Source organism: Homo sapiens, chromosome 9 (assembly GCF_000001405.40).
Source record: "Homo sapiens chromosome 9, GRCh38.p14 Primary Assembly".
NCBI lineage: Eukaryota > Metazoa > Chordata > Mammalia > Primates > Hominidae > Homo > Homo sapiens.
Genome location: NC_000009.12, coordinates 38,635,801 through 38,652,421, shown reverse-complemented (window position 1 = coordinate 38,652,421; position 16,621 = coordinate 38,635,801). Strand labels below are relative to the sequence as shown.

At 46.3% G+C, this 16,621-nt stretch overlaps 1 pseudogene, besides 2 other annotated features; it reads right to left on the bottom strand.

Annotated features, from left to right (window-relative positions):
- YWHABP1 (tyrosine 3-monooxygenase/tryptophan 5-monooxygenase activation protein beta pseudogene 1) lies at positions 8,473 to 9,382 on the bottom strand (annotated as a pseudogene).
- Positions 8,857 to 9,356: an enhancer, noted in NCBI's record as "H3K4me1 hESC enhancer chr9:38643063-38643562 (GRCh37/hg19 assembly coordinates)". NCBI's record gives its function as "activates a minimal SCP1, AML or CMV promoter by ChIP-STARR-seq in naive H9 embryonic stem cells {active_cell/tissue: H9 hESC(naive)}" and the evidence as "EXISTENCE:reporter gene assay evidence [ECO:0000049][PMID:30033119]".
- Positions 9,357 to 9,858: an enhancer, noted in NCBI's record as "H3K4me1 hESC enhancer chr9:38642561-38643062 (GRCh37/hg19 assembly coordinates)". NCBI's record gives its function as "activates a minimal SCP1, AML or CMV promoter by ChIP-STARR-seq in naive H9 embryonic stem cells {active_cell/tissue: H9 hESC(naive)}" and the evidence as "EXISTENCE:reporter gene assay evidence [ECO:0000049][PMID:30033119]".

Here is a 16,621-nt window from a genome sequence, read left to right as displayed (position 1 = left end):
AAGCAATCTTGTGATCTTCTCAAATGCCAACATCATGAAGACCTCAACTAGGAGGTCATGCATGACACCACATGCAAATTTCCTCAACCTTTACCACTCAAAGGACCCACGGTTCACACAACAGAACATTGACTTATATGGGAGTGTGCTCTAAAGGCAGATTCACAGGCCCCACCCAGGGCGACTGAAGCAGAATGTACATTTTACAGGATCTGCAGGTGCTTTGTGCACATTAGTGCCTGAGTGGCACCATCCTCAGCCACCCTGGAGTTTGGGACTCTTTTGAGGCATTACTCCAGTGCTTCCACAAACAGGATCCCATTCAATACAGCAACCTAGCAGCAGCTGCTATCCTCCTCATGTCACATGGCAGGAAAAGGAGGCTCAGCAAGTGACCCATACGGGGTGGAAAGCACTAACTTTTGGAGGAATTAGAATTCAGTCCAGGCCTCTGAGGGGCTCTCCATCCTGCCTGTGCACCAGAAAAAAACCGTGATTATTTAAAAATCAGTTGCTTCGTTCCCTTTGACCCACTGACTTAGAATCTCCTGGGACCATGGCCCTGGTGTCTGTTTTGTTATAAAGTTCCCAGCCTTATGTAGCCAGGCTAGGGGCCTGCATGCAAAATAGTCACCCCATCCAGTCACCCACTGAAGCCCTTGGAAAAAATGAGATGTCAAGCAGCTGCTAACATTGATTTGGCAACTAACACTGTGGCTGGGGGATTTAAAAGTATACTTCATTGTGTTCGGTTCCCACACAACGCCTACTCTGAGATGTGCAGGAAGGTGACAACAGATAGAGACATTTCATCTTTGTGCTCACAGGGCCTGACGCTTAGCAGGTGCTCTGTTTAAGTGTCTGCTGATGAGTGATGGTCGTCAGTGGCCCCCACCTGACCTGGCCTCTCAGCAGCCCCAGTGCTGTCAGCCACTCCCTTTTCCTGAATGTTCTCCTCCCTGTGCCTCTGAAATCGCCCCTCCCTGAACTTTGTCTCTCTGATATAGCCCCACCTCATCTACCGTCTTTTTTTGAGACAGAGTTTTGCTCTTGTTGTCCAGGCTGGAGTGCAATGGCATGATCTCGGCTCACTGCAACCTCTGCCTCCTGGGTTCAAGCGATTCTCCTGCCTCAGCCTCCTGAGTAGCTGGGATTACAGGCATGCACCACCATGTCAGCTAATTTTGTATGTTTTTTTTTTTTTTTTTGAGATGGAGTCTCGCTCTGTCGCCCAGGCTGGAGCGCAGTGGCGCGATCTCGGCTCACTGCAAGCTCCGCCTCCCGGGTTCATGCCATTCTCCTGCCTCAGCCTCTCCGAGTAGCTGGGACTACAGGCGCCCGCCACCACGCCCGGCTAATTTTTTTGTATTTTTAGTGGAGATGGGGTTTCACCGTGGTCTTGATCTCCTGACCTCATGATCCATCCGCCTCAGCCTCCCAAAGTGCTGGGATTACAAGTGTGAGCCACCATGCCCAGCCTAATTTTGTATTTTTAGTAGAGACGAGATTTCTCCATGTTGGTCAGGCTGGTCTTGAACTCCTGACCTCAGGTGATCTGCCCACCTTAGTCTCCCAAAGTGCTAGGATTACAGGCGTGAGCCACCGCACCCGGCCTATCATCTACCTTCTTTTAGGCTGCTCCTTCTCTACCCTACACGACATGGAGAGCTCACCAAGACTCAGGCTTGAATCTACGCCTCATCACCCTGAACTTTCTTCACAAGGCAACCTGCTGATGTTCCCACTCTTAAATCTCAAACCTACACCTCCGAGCTCAAGACTTAGACATCTTCCTGCATGCACAGGATTTCCAGTAAAGTGACTCGTAGTCTTAGGTTGCTTGTGCATTGTTTCAATGCCAGTCCCTTCAAGACAGAACCCCTGATCTTTCCCCATTAACCTGGTCCTCGTCTCACAGTCCTTGACTCCACAAATGGCACCAGTCTATGCAGTGTAGAAGACAGACACCTAAGAATGCTCTGTAACATTCTCTTCCTTTTCTCTCGTATTCAACCCATCTCTAAGCTACTACCTGTCAATTTTACCTTCTAAGTGTCTCTCCAACATATCCACCTGGTGTCCATTGTCACCACAGCTACTGGCCTCTTCCAGGCTACAATCTGCAATCCTCTTGCTTGGACTCCTGCAGGAGCCTTTGAATTCTCTCTACATTCATTCTGACCCCTCCAATCCATTCTCCACACTGCAGTAGGCAGCATCTCCACTGGCACCCAGACGTTCCCACCCCCTGGCATTCACTCCCTGGTACAATCTCCTCCTGAGTGTGGGCCGTTATCAGGTGACTTGTTTCTATGAATAGAATATTGTAAAAGTGACAGAATGTCACATTTCAGATTAGGTTACAGAAAGAATGTTTTCTCTCTCTCCTGCCTTCCCATTCTGGGGGAATCAAATTGCCATGTTGTGAGAAGCCTTAGGGAGAGGCCCATGAGACAATGAAGAAATGCCTCCAGCCGGCAGTGAGCAAAGGCCTGAGGTCCGCCAACAGCCACTCGGTGACCTTGAATGTGAATCCTCTCCCTAGGCAATCCTTGAGATAGCTGCAGCTCCCGCTGACACTGGATGGTAACCTCGCGGGAGACCCAGAGACAGAGGACCCAGCTAAGCCATGACCAAGTTCCTAGCCCAAAGAACTGTGAGATAATAGTATAAGTTGTTCTATACCACTACCCTTTGGGGTAATTTGTTACCCAGCAATAGATAACTGATACACCTATTATACCACACTCTTCTTTACTTCAAGATCACCCATTCTTTAAGAATAAAGACTAAAACCCTTGACGCCTGAGGGCCTTTGTGACCTGGACTCTGCTGACCTCTGCACCTCACCTGGCCACTAGGCTCCCCTACTTTCAGGGTTCCAGACATCTCATCTTCTGGCAGGTCCTTGAAGAAGTTTAGCTTCCTCTGGACACAGGGCCTTTGCACAGGCCCCTTTGCTTCACATCCCTTTGACTCAGCAGAAGTGTCACTGCCTATGGGAAGCCTCCCCTGACTCCTCAGGTCTACGCTGGGCTCCATTGATGAATACCCTTATGGGTGCCTGTTCCTTGACTTTACAGGGTTGACCTGCTGCCCTCAGTTTGTAATTGTACACTCATGTCTGTGGCTGTTTTACTACAGTCTATCTCCCTCACTAGGCTGTAAATTCCAGAAGAACAAAAAACACGTGGCAAGGCTCATGTCTGTTTAGGTCACCACTGTCTCCCCAGTACCAGGCATATCAAAAGCTCTTAAACAATATCTGACTAAACAATGAGTAGGTCTGGCGTTTGCTATTCTGCCACACAGGAAAGTTTCCCATCTCCCCTTTCCCAGTCCAGACATCCACACTTCTCTGGAGTCATTTCCAAGAACTATGGGGAGGCTGAAGGGGCTGAGGCCAGTCACACAGCTGTGTGAGCCACAGCAAAGGATATGCCTTTGATTCTAAGTGCACTGAGCACCTTCCCTGTGCTGGACACTGGGCTGGGTGGTGGGAATACCGCGATGAGCAAAATGGGCTCAGCCCTGGGACTCACAGGGTTCTAGTCTGGTTGGGGAGAAAAATGATAACCAAATTCTCACACTAATAGCCACAGCAACCCTCCATAATGGCAACATGCAGGAGTTCTGAAAACACGTCACAATGGAGCCACGCTAATCTAGCAGCAAGGGGTCCCCCTTTTGTAAGTGATCCCCGTCTTTGAACAAAGCCAATGAACTCCACCATTCACATAGGTTTGCTCTTTATTTTTTATTTTTTAGAGACAAGGTCTTGCTCTGTCACCGAGGCTAGAATGCAGTGGCACCATCAGGGCTCACTGTACTCTTGAACTTCTAGGCTCAAGGGATCCTCCCACCTCAGCCAACCAAGTAGCTGGGACCACAGGCACCACCATACCCTGGTAATTTTTATTTTCATTCTTATTTTGTAGAGACAGACTTGCTGTGTTGCCCAGGCTGGTCTGAGCTCCTGGCCCCAAGTGATCCTCCCCGCTCAGCCTCCCAAAGTGTTAGGCTTGCAGGCATGAGCCACCATGCCTGGCCTGACTGTTGCAAGGCACACCTCGTCAAGACCAGCTCTCGAGATTTCCATCCCCACACTTCACTCTCCCCTCACTTTTCATTCCACATCATTCACAAATGCCATGAGCAGTTAAATTGGCATGTTACAGGCAGGGCACATTTGCCTTGTCCTCACCATATATTCACCCGGTAGATTTTAAAGACTCCAAAGAGAGAAAAATATGTATAATGGGGCAAGATCCAAACAAAGTCTTCATACTTTGCAACAATACACAACAGGGCACCTAGCTGTGTCCAGTGAATAACTTCCCTAAAATTCATAATCCAAAACCTCTTAATGGGATACCTTTCCACACAGATTTTAAAACTTGGGCAGCCAATATCGTCAAGAAATATGTTTTCTTTTAAATGAACCTAATAGTACAGTAAGTGCAGGAGAGTAAGATGGCTTTCCATCTTCTGTTTTAAATCATAAACTCCATGATGGAAAAAGTAGAAAAATATTTCTCATTTAAAAGTAAAGGGGAAAGCCAGGCGTGGTGGCTCATGCCTCTAATCCCAGCACTTTGGGAGGCCAAAGTGGGAGGATCACTTGAGGTCAGGAGTTCGAGACCAGCCTGTTCACCAACATGGTGAAACCCCATCTCTACTAAAAATACAAAAATTAGCCAGGTGTGGTGGTGCATGCTTGTAATCCCAGATCCTTGGGAGGCAGAGGCAGGAGAATTGCTTGAACCCAGGAGGCAGAGGCTGCAGTGAGCCTAGATCGTGCCACTACTGCACTCTAGCCTGGGCAACAGAGGAAGACTCCATTTCAAAAAATAAAATAAAATAAAAATAATAAATAAAAGTGAAGAGGATACCCCATTTGCCTTGCTGCAATGCATTGATTGCATGCCTGTGTCAAAATATCTCATTACCCCATAAATATATACACCTACTCTGTACGCACAAAAATGGAAACTAAATTTTTTAAATGGATGTAAGGAAGTCAAGCCTTTTACTCAACAGGTTAATTGGCTAACATCCACATGTAATAATAGAATATATAATTGAAGCGTTCTAAGTGCCACCTAAAAAGGAAAATTAAAAGTCTCTCTTAACTGCTAAAATTTTTATTTCACTTTTGAATTTTTACACTTTTCTTGATTATTCCATGTAAGGTAAAACAATAACTGTTTAAAAGACATACACACACCTAGTAAATCAATAACCAGGCATTTTTTCTTTTCTTTTCTTTTCTTTTTTTTTTTTTTTTTTGCTATTCTATTTTCCCAAAAACAGGTATGCTTGCTAGGCAATAGAACCATCACAGAAGCAAACATTAGGCAGAAAACTGGTAAGGAAAAACAAAGCTACCAGATACACAAGACAAGCTTGGTTGCACATTCACTACTCATTTTCAAGCAGCAGGTATTAACCGAAAGCACATTCTTTTGTTCAGCTAGAAAGGAGAGCCGGGCGCGGTGGCTCCTGCCTGTAATCCTAGCACTTTGGGAGGCTGAGGAGGGCGGATCACGAGGTCAGGAGAACGAGACCATCCTGGCTAACACGGTGAAACCCCGTCTCTACTAAAAATACAAAAAATTAGCCGGGCGTTGGTGGCGGGCGCCTGTAGTCCCAGCTACTTGGGAGGCTGAGGCAGGAGAATGGCGTGAACCCGGGAGGCGGAGCTTACAGTGATCCGAGATCGCGCCACTGCACTCCAGCCTGGGCGACAGAGTGAGACTCCGTCTCAAAAAAAAAAAAGAGGGATTTTTAGTGTTGTTTTTTCTTTTTCTTTTTCTTTCTTTCTTTTTTTTTTTTTTTTTTTTTTTTTTTTTTTTTTTGAGGTGGAGTCTCACTCTGTCGCCCAGGCTGGAGTGCAGTGGCGCGATCTCAGCTCACTGCAAGCTCCGCCTCCCGGGTTCATGCCATTCTCCTGCCTCAGCCTCCCAAGTAGCTGGGACCACAGGAGCCCGCCACCACACTCGGCTAATTTTTTTTTTCTTTTTGTATTTTTAATAGAGACTGTTTTGTCTTTTTTGGTTTTTTTTTAAGTCAGTGCATGAATTTTTCTTTTCTTGTTTCCGCAGATGGACAAACAGATGGACCCTGCAGCCAGGTGGAATGTCAGAGGTGGAGGGGAAACCCTGGGACACTGATGGGCCTGGATCCTCTCCAGCCTCTCCCCTGCAGTGTCCACACAACTGCCCTGAGTGGTAGCGTCTTGTTTAGGCACTTCTGAGAGCTGAGCTGGATGAGTGCACTTGGGACACTTGGTGACAGGTACTTGCAAGCATGATCAGGGTCAGCCTCAATACAGGCAGAAATCCTGGGTATTTAAAAATACTTTTTTGATTCAGATCATGGTGTGATTGCAGAGCAACACTGTGTTGAGAACTGGAGGAAGGCAGAGCTGTGGTGCGGGCAGCTCTTCTCAACTCTTTAAAGCAAGGTTTGCTCACCAAGGTGCTGACTCATGTCTCTCACCCCTGCCCATATATAGCATTACAAAGTGAACAGGCCAGGTGTGGTGGCTTACGCCTGTAATCCCAGCACTTTGGGAGGCCGAGGCGGGCAGATCACGAGGTCAGGAGATCGAGACTATCCTGGTTAACACAGTGAAACACCATCTCTACTAAAAATACAAAAAAAAAAAAAAAAAAAAAAAAAAAAAATTATCCAGGCTTGGTGGTGGGCGCCTGTAGTCCCAGCTACTCGGGAGGCTGAGGCAGGAGAATGGCGTAAACCTGGGAGGTGGAGCTTGCAGTGAGCCGAGATTGCACCACTGCACTCCAGCCTGGGTGACAGAGACTCTGTCTCAAAAAAAAAAAAAAGTGAACAAAAGGCCAGGCACAGTGACTCATGCCTGTAATCCCAGCACTTTGGGAGGCCAAGACGGGGAAGATCACGAGGTCAGGAGTTCAAGACCAGCCTGACCAACATAGTGAAACCCCATCTCTATTATAAATACAAAATATTAGCTGGGCATGGTGGCACGCACCTGTAATCCCAGCTACTCAGGAGGCTGAGGCAGGAGAATGGCCTGAACCCGGGAGGCGGAGCTTGCAGTGAGCCGAGATCTCGCCACTGCACTCCAGCCTGGGCGACAGAGCAAGACTCCATCTCAAAAAAAAAAAAAAAAAAAGATAAATCCCCATCTCTACTAAAAATACAAAAATTAGGTGGCCTTTGGTGTCACGTGCCTGTAATTCCAGCTACTCAGGAGGTTGAGGCGGGAGAATTGCTTGAACCCAGGAGGCAGAGGTTGCAGTGAGCCAAGATTGTGCCACCGCACTCCAGCCTGGGCCGCAGAGGGAGACCCTGTCTCAAAATTAACTAATTAATTAATGAATAAGTAAATAAAATAAAACATAATATAATAATAAATAAAAGCCCCAATCTAGGAAGAACATGAAAACTGAGCACTCCTGAAGTGAAAGGCAATCTCTACAGAACATTCTTCTGTTTTGTTGGAGTCAAGGTCTTGCTATGTTGCCCATGTGGGAGTGCAGTGGCTATTCACAGGGGCAGCCACAGGACACTATGGCCTTAAACTCCCGGGCTCAGGTGATCCTCCTGCCTCAGCCTCCCAAGTATTTGGAACCACAGGCACACACCACCATGCCTGACTCAGAACATTATTCTTAAAGGTATTATCCAGGAATGTGGGGCAAAGGCATGTGGGGGAAGGGACATCTGTGCTATAATGAGACTGGCTAACACTCAGTGAATGCCGTGTATCTGCTGGGGTTCTGAGCACTTTGTATGCATTATCTTATTAAATTCCTCACACCAAAAAAAAAAAAAAGAAGGAGATATTAGCCAGGAAACAGAAAAGAGCATTCATAAAACAGACAGCATTTACAGCACTAGCTCAGTGTTAACAATGAAAAACTATTCCATTATTGAGGCACAAGTTTCAAATCAGTAACATATTCCTATTGCTGTAGGAAGGGGGGTTTAGTCAGGTGTGTCATATGAGCACCAGAACTTTTCAAGGTGTCACAGCCAGTTATCTGTCACAAGGAATTTCAGCTTCAGGATTTGCATTTCCTCAGAGGAAGACGCTGTGGACATTTGTGGTCATGAACTTTTGAGTGGCAATAGCCCAAACAGGTCCAGTGTCTATAAGCTCTGAACAGGCAGCATCACTGTGAATTACCATTAAACTTGAATGCCAAATGATGGTGTCTCACTCCACATCCCAGCATCACGACATAACCTCTGTAACTTTCTGTACAACTTTACAATGAAATTGTATTTCAGTGACTATTTTAATATTGGATTAAACTTTCCAAAGAGTTACATAACATTCAGGTCTATTTTTCTTATCAGTAAGAATTATGCTGAATTACAAAACCCATCACCACAGTGCTCAGCTTTAAGAAAATTAAACACACAGTAATCTTGCCAATGTCAATCAAAACCAAAACTTCAGAATGCCATGGTGTTTATGCAACCAATCTAGGTTTTAGATACAAGTGCCAGCTGTTTATCCCACGAACCATTCTTGCTAGGCTGAGGCTGTGAAAAATCGCAAGACAATGTACAATTCTTTTTTTTTTTTAATCACACAAAGGGATTTACGTGGATGGTACAGGGTGACACTGAACAGATTGTGAGGCATGGCAGACACAGTTCTCTCCCTCCCCAGCATCTCCTGCATCTCCCTGGTTTCCCGATGTCCCCAGAGTGAGATTGTCCCGAAGTCACTGCATGGTGGGAGTGCTGTCTTTATAAGACTCTTCATTCAGTGTATCCAACTCAGCAATTGCTTCATCAAATGCCACGTTTGCCAGGCTGCAGGCCTTTTCAGGAGAGTTTAGAATCCCGTAGCAAAAGACTGAGAAATTAAGTGCCAGGCCCAGTCGAATTGGGTGTGTAGGCTGCATATCTTTCTTACTAATTTCAGATGTTTCCTGGTAAGCCTGCTGGGAGTTCAACAGTGTGGTTTGTTTATTGTCTCCAGACGCCACCCCAGAAAGATACCCGAAACAATCTCCTTTCATTTTCAAGGAGAACGCCTTGCTTTCAGGTTGTGTAGCATGGGGAATAAGAGACTTGTCCAACAGCTCCGGAACCTCATTGCAGATGTCCAGCAGCTCTGCCTCTGTCTTCCATGGTACTCTTTGCCCATCTGCTGCTTCTCATTCCTCCTGTTCTCTGCTCAGTGCTGGAGATGAGAATCCAGGAAGAACAGTGGGCCCCACCGTATTCTTGTAGGCGGCAGAGGGCAGATTGCTGTCTTCAGCTGGGGGCGCATGCCCCTGTGGCATGGCTGCCTTCCCGGCTGCAGCCACATCATCACCGCGCTCAGCCTGCTCAGCGGGCCTGGCTTTCTGTACCAGCACACTTTTATCCATTGTCAGTTCCAAGCACAGCTCTGAGCTTGGTGACCACTACCTTCCCAAGCTGACTCCTTAGGCCGCTGCAGTGGCTGTGGCAGCGGCAGCTACCCCAGCTCCAAAATCAGCGGTGGCTGCTCCACTTCCCAAAAACAGCCTCTCTTTGATGAGCTACTATCATGTGTTGCCCGCAGCACAGCCCATCTGAAAAACTAAATAAAAATGAGCAGAAACAAATGAGCCCCAAGTTGCCAACTCTCTGGAAAATTCCGAAGACTGCCAGCAGGTGTCACTTCCAGGTGTGAGAAAAATAGAAGTGTCTGGAAAAGGATGGGATGTGGCAACGAGAATGGCGAACTCAAAGGGAACCAGGTGTGCCAGGGCAGCTGGTAGCCACGGCAGGGCGAGGGTGTGGGTGGTTCCTGTGTTCCTCTGAGTCCCTGTCTCACCAATAGGCCACACAGGATGGTCTCCCTCTAAATGTTAATCTCGAGGTGACGAGAGTGGCATTCGGACATCAGAGCACTGATGGTGGGCCATTTCCTGCAAGCCCCACTCACCCCTGCATCTAATAAGCCCCACGGCTCTGGGCTGATGGTCATTCCTAAGTGATCCCAGCTCACTACAGGAAAGGGGCCCACACTCCATCTGTCCTAGAACAGCTGCCACCTCTTGGGCAGCCCAGGCTAGGAACACCCCGCCAGAGTGCGCATGTCTGACCATATCATAGTTTGTCATGGTAGGAATAATTGAACTAGCTTTCCTTGGGCCTTTTTTGGATTTTCAGAAAGATTAGGGCATTCCATCTTTTTATTTCCTCCTTTCCCATTTCTCAAATGTGAAATTCAATTCTCTACCCCCTGCAGTGTGAATTGTATAATGCAAGCCAACAGCCCCATCTAGTGCACTCCTCTCCAACTTCTGCAAAATGACTCTGTGGCCAGTCCTCCCAGACAAGGAGAGGTGCCAGATATGTGCTTTTATTGCCCTGTCAATCAGACATAAGAAACATGAGGAGAGACGGGAGGATGGCTTGAGCCAGGGAGGTTGAGGCTGCAGTGAGCCATGATTATGCCACTACACTCCAGCCTGGACGACAGAGTGAGACCTAGTCTGGAAAAAAAAAAAAAAAAAAAGAAGAAAAGAAGCATGAGGACCTAATTCAGTTTTCAGTGTTAGAATAAATAGCATTTATTTTCTGATAAAATTGCACATCACCCTTGAGCTATACCCCATGTACCCTGTTTCCATGGTTAGCACGAATGGTGGTGGACCACACCTGTTCTGTCCTGAGGCACGTCAGGCATTCCCCGGAGCCCCCAGCTCTAGGAGGTGGGTCACAGGGGTCATCACGAGGTCTGCGCTCCGAGAGAGAAAATCCCCCACGGGGAATATCATGATTGACCCCAAATCACCATCGTGCTCAGCTCAGAATGCATTTGAGAGTTCAAGGAGGCACTTTGGGCTAAAGTGAAAGATCCATACTAGAGCCAGATCAAGTCGAAGAGGGATTTTTGTGTCAAGATCCAAGCATGCCTCACCAGGCCTGATGATAGCGCTCTGAAGTTATGTTCACTTTCTTACCTCCGTGCGCTGGCTTTACTTCTCTTCGTCTCTTGGTCAGCTGAATTTCTGTGTTTCCCGAACCACAAGGGAGACCTGGCTTTCCACAGCTCCCGGGTTCCCCGGGGCTCTGTTCTAGGAAGTGAACCCTGGGGCAGGAGTAGGGGAGACAGCTGCAGACAGCACAAAGTTAGGCACTAACTCAGTGCAGAACTCAGCAGAGTGCTAGCCCAGCGTGTTTTCTCTCTCCTTTCACCCCTTAGAGACTCCCACTCCTGGGAACATCACACACCAGGGCCTGTCAGGGGGTGCGGAAAAGGGGAGGGAGAGCATTAGCACAAATACCTAATGCATGTGGGGCTTAAAACCTAGATGACGGGTTGATAGGTGCAGCAAACCACCATGGCACATGTATACCCGTGTATATAACAAACCTGCATGTTCAGCACATGTATCCCAGAACTTAAAGTAAAATCTAAAAATAAAAATAAATAAGTAAAGACCCGCTCGTGCCATAAATGGTTCCTGCAGTCCACAGGCGTGTAAAGTCGGTGTTTCCTCGGTCCTCTCAGCTTCCCTTTCCTCAGTACGGGCTTCGTTTATTCCTAAGGCCTCTGGGCTTCCCCATCAGTGGGGAAGGTGACCGCTCTGATACCAGATCCAATGCCTCCAAGCTCTTGAACCCCCGCAGAAAGGAAAGATGGCCAGAAGCCAAGTGGAAAGCAGGCTTCTTTGGATGCCCTTCATTTTTACCGAAAGCTTGTTTTTAAATAATCTTTCGCATTAATCTGAAAGCATAGACTTATAAAGCATCAGGAGAATCATAGGATTTTTCTTACTTTGAAAACTGAAAACAAGCAACATGCAAAACTGGCCAGTCAGAGGAGGCTTAAAGAAACGAAATACATCCTGGTTACAGACAAAAAGAATTCCCGAAGATCTCTCACTTTCTGATCTGAGGGGAAGGAAAATGAGCCCCTACAGGTGAGAAAGAGGAGGATGAATTCCCTCCTATATTTCTGCTTTCCTTTCTTTATAACCTAAGCAATACTGTGCTGGTGATTCAGTGGTTGCAGCTGGGCAAAGAGCAACAGCTACCAACAAGAAGCACCTACAACTCTGAAGGAAGAAACTCTTCTCTCTTACCTGAGAATCTATGGTTCCAGGAGTTCAGAGTGATTCTTCACTGCTCTTTTTCTCTGTGTGCTTGTACCACATGGCTCTGAACCACAATAGAACTACAGCCCACTGGAGGAATTTGCATATTGAATCTGACCTAGCCGATTGCCATTGAAAACAACAGCAAAAGACATTGTCCTGACGTTTTAAACAAAACCCAGAGTCTCATAAGATAATATCCAAAATATTCAGGATATAATCCAAAATGGTTCAGCATGTAAAGAACAAGGAAAATCTCAACTTGCAAGTGAAAAGACAGTTACACTTCAGAACTAAAAATAAAAACACTGAAATTAAAAATTCACAAGATGATCTCAACAGCAGAATAGAAATGACAAAGGAAAAAGTCCATGAACTTAAAGATAGATCAATAAAAAGTATTCAATATAAGCAACAGAGAGGAAAAACGTTTGAAGAAAAATGAGCATAGCCTTAAGGATCTGTGTAACAATACAATGACACATCTGTGCCATTGGAGTTCTACAGAGAGAAGCATAAGAACAGAGTAAAAAATATATGAAGCCATGCATCTCTTAATGACAGTAATACATTCCGAGACATGTGTCGTTAGGCAATTTCATCACTGTGTGAACCACAGAGTGCACTTCCGCAAACATAGATGATAAAGCCTACTACACACCTACGCTATATGGTATATCCTGTAGCTCCTAGGCCATATGCCTGCATAACATGTTACTATATGGAATACTGCCGGCAATTGTATTACAATGGTAAGTGTTTGTATATCCAAACATATCTAAACAGAGAAAAGGTGTAGTAAAAATATGGTAGAAAAGACAAAAAATGGTACACCTATGTAGGACACTTACCATGAATGGAGCTTGCAGGACTGGAAGTTGCTCTGGGTGAGTCAGTGTGTGAGTGGTGAGTAAATATGAAGGCCTAGGACATTAATGTACACTATTGCTGACTTTATAAACACAGTACACTCAGGCTACACTGAATGTATTTTAATTATTTTCTTTAGGCTGGGTAAAAATTTGACAAAACCATTAATAGAGGTCCCCAAGTATTGGGAAAGTGTTTCAGGAAGTGCAAGCATATGACAGTTAAAATATATGGCACTGTGGACAGGTGCTTAAGATTTTTATGATAAAGTGTAGCAAGTTGCAAGGTATGACCAGTCATTTCATATCTTGCATCTTGATGTCACACCTTGCAGTGGAGTGGAGAGAAAAGTTATTGGGTCAAAAGAGTCGAGGAACCATGAGTCACTTTACAAGAATTATCAGACTGCCCATGGGGAGCAGTGACAAGAAGCCCAGGGCTACAGGAAGGGAGAGGACTATGATGGACATCAGTGGAGTCACGTTGCATGGTGGCATGAGTCTCAAAAGTCAAAGGCGTGTAACAACGGAGAAGCGAGTGGAAGTGGGGAATGCAGATCTGACTGGCCGGGTGTGGTGGCTCACACCTGTAATCTCAGCACTTTGGGAGGCCGAGGTGGGCAGATCACGAGGTCAGGAGATCGAGACCATCCTGGCTAACACGGTGAAATCCCGCCTCTACTAAAAATACAAAAAATCAGCCGGGCGTAGTAATGGGCACCTGTAGTCCCAGCTACTCAGCTGAGGCAGGAGAATGGTGTGAACCTGGGAAGCGGAGCTTTCAGTGAGCCAAGATGGTGCCACTGCACTCCAGCCTAGGAGAAGGGAAAAGGACTCTCTTCCCATAATTCCACGTGACCCAGGTGCCACGAATATATTACCATGTAGGGAAAAATCAATGGCTATGAACACTTTCTTCTTTAAATGTATAATAAAACAATACTTTTTTTTTTTTGAAACAGAATCTCACTCTGTCGCCCAGGCTGGAGTGCAGTGGCACAATCTCAGCTCACTGCAACATCTGCTTTCCAGGTTCAAGCAAGTCTTCTGCCTCAGCTTCCCGAGTAGCTGGGACTACAGGCGCATGCCACCATGCCAGGCTAATTTTTGTATTTTTAGTAGAGATGGGGTTTCACCATATTGGCCAGGCTGGTCTGAAAGTCCTGACCTCATGATCTGCCCACCTTGGCCTCCCAAAGTGCTGGGATTACAGGCATGAGCCACCACGTCTGGCCAAAAATACATTTTCTTTCTTCCCTCTTCTTCCACCCAAAGCCACGAATTTGACTTAAGATACATTTTTTTTCCTTTATATGTTCACATAACTTAAGGAATAGTAAACCAAAGAAGGAAAGAAAGAAACAGAAACTAAGCCAGATAGAAAAATGAGTAACTGGGGTCAGGCTCAGTGGCTCACACCTGTAATCCCAGCACTTTGGGTAGCTGAGGAAAGAGGAACAGTTGAGCCCTAGGCAACGTGGCAAAAACCAATTTCTACAAAAAAAAAAAAAAAAAAAAAAAAAGAAAAAAAATTAGCTGGGTGTGGTGTCACATGACTGTAGTCCCAGCTACTTGGGGGGCTGAGGAGGGATGATTGCTTGAGCACAACAGGTCGAGGCTGCAGTGAGCTGTGATCATGCCATCGCACTCCAGCCTGGGTCACAGAACGAGGCCCTGTCTCAAAACAAAATAAAATGGTGCCGGGCATGGTGGCTCACGCCTGTAATCCCAGCACTTTGGGAGGCCGAGGCGGACAGATCACAAGATCAGGAATCGGAGACCAGCCTAACCAACATGTTGAAACCCCGTCTTACTAAAAATACAAAAAATTACCCGGGCATGGTGGTGGGCGCCTGTAATCCCAGCTACTCGGGAGGCTGAGGCAGGAGAATCGCTTGAACCGGGAGGCGGAGGATGCAGTGAGCCGAGATCGCGCCACTGCACTCCAGCCAGGGCGACAGTGACTCAGTCTCAAAACAAAACAAAACAAAAAATTGTAACTGGAACCCCCCCCCAGCCCCAAATATCTCAGATCTAACTCCCACTGAGAATAGTTTTGAAATCTGAATATAATGATAACAGAAAAGCAAATCTCTTAAAGTCTAGGAGAATGATAAAAGGCAGACAGGATTTTTAAAGTAAAAAAATCAAGACACAGGCGGCCGGGCGCGGTGGCTCACGCTGTAATCCCAGCACTTTGGGAGGCCGAGGCGGGCAGATCGCGAGGTCAGGAGATTGAGACCATCCTGGCTAACACGGTGAAACCCCGTCTCTATTAAAAATACAAAAAATTAGCTGGGCATGGTGACGGGCGTCTGTAGTCCCAGCTAGTCTGGGAGCTGAGGCAGGAGCTACGCTGAGGCTGAGACAGGAGAATGGCATGAACCTGGGAGGGGGAGCTTGCAGTGAGCCGAGATTGCGGCACTGCACTCCAGCCTGGGCGACAGAGAGAGACTCCGCCTCAAAAAAAATAAAAAATAAAAAAAAATTAAAAATTAAAATAAAATCAAGACACAGGCATATCTGCATATCTATTAAGATTATTTTCACATTTTGCAAATCATTTTCCTTTCAGGGGATTTGCTGCTGAGTTTCAGTTTAGGGCATTGCAGTCAAACAGGAATCTGCAGCTCAGATAAAGTGGTTTTGGGAGACACAGGATATGAGAGCCCCTGAACTGGGCTATCAAGCAGTGAGAGTTTGAAGGACCTATTATCTAGGAAGAATTACAAGAGAGTGAGCCTGACATCTGCCTGGCTTTCGGTTCTTGATAGATTTACCCAATCCTATTTTTTTTTTCTAAGATTAGAAGCAAAGGAACCAAATAAAAGAGGTGCTTTCAGTGGTCTAGAAAGCTTAACAGAGCATTTGGAATTGTGGGTCCTGGGAGACAGAGGTGGGAGTTCATGGCCTATCTTTCAAAGGAGATCTGCTTGGAAAAATCACAGTCTCTGGAGTCGTGACTTAAAAAGAGATAAGCACTGGGAAAGTCACTAGGCTGAAATGTAGTCTTGATTCACTCCCTTGACTGACTGGATCAAGGCGGTCCTTTGACTGCCAGAAGAAAACCAAGTCCTCTCTGGAGAAGACAAGAATGCACAGCCAAGCTTGGGTATCAACGCAAACTCACCTGAAACATCCAGAAACAGCATCCCATGACCCAACACCAAGAGAGACACAATAAGAAAGGAGCAGGGGCCGGGCGCGGTGGCTCACGCCTGTAATCCCAACACTTTGGGAGGCGGAGGCAGGCGGATCACGAGGTCAGGAGATCGAGACCATCTTGGTTAACATGGTGAAACTCCGTCTCTACTAAACATACAAAAAATTAGCCGGGCGTGGTGGCGGGTGCCTGTAGTCCCAGCTACTCAGGAGGCTGAGGCAGGAGAATGGCGTGAACCCGGCAGGCGGAGCTTGCAGTGAGCCAAGATTGCTCCACTGCACTCCAGCCTGGGCGACGGAGCGAGACTCCGTCTCAAAAAAAAAAAAAAAAAAAAAAAAAAAAAAGGGAGCAGGGTTTCTGGATACCACTGTTATCAATAATAACAGGAACTTTAATAGTTAACTATGATTCATGTGTTTTAGAAAAGAAACAAATGATCCAGATTTTTGGCAGAAAACTGGAAACCATAATGAATCAAATAGAAATTCAGAATTGAAAATAAATATCTG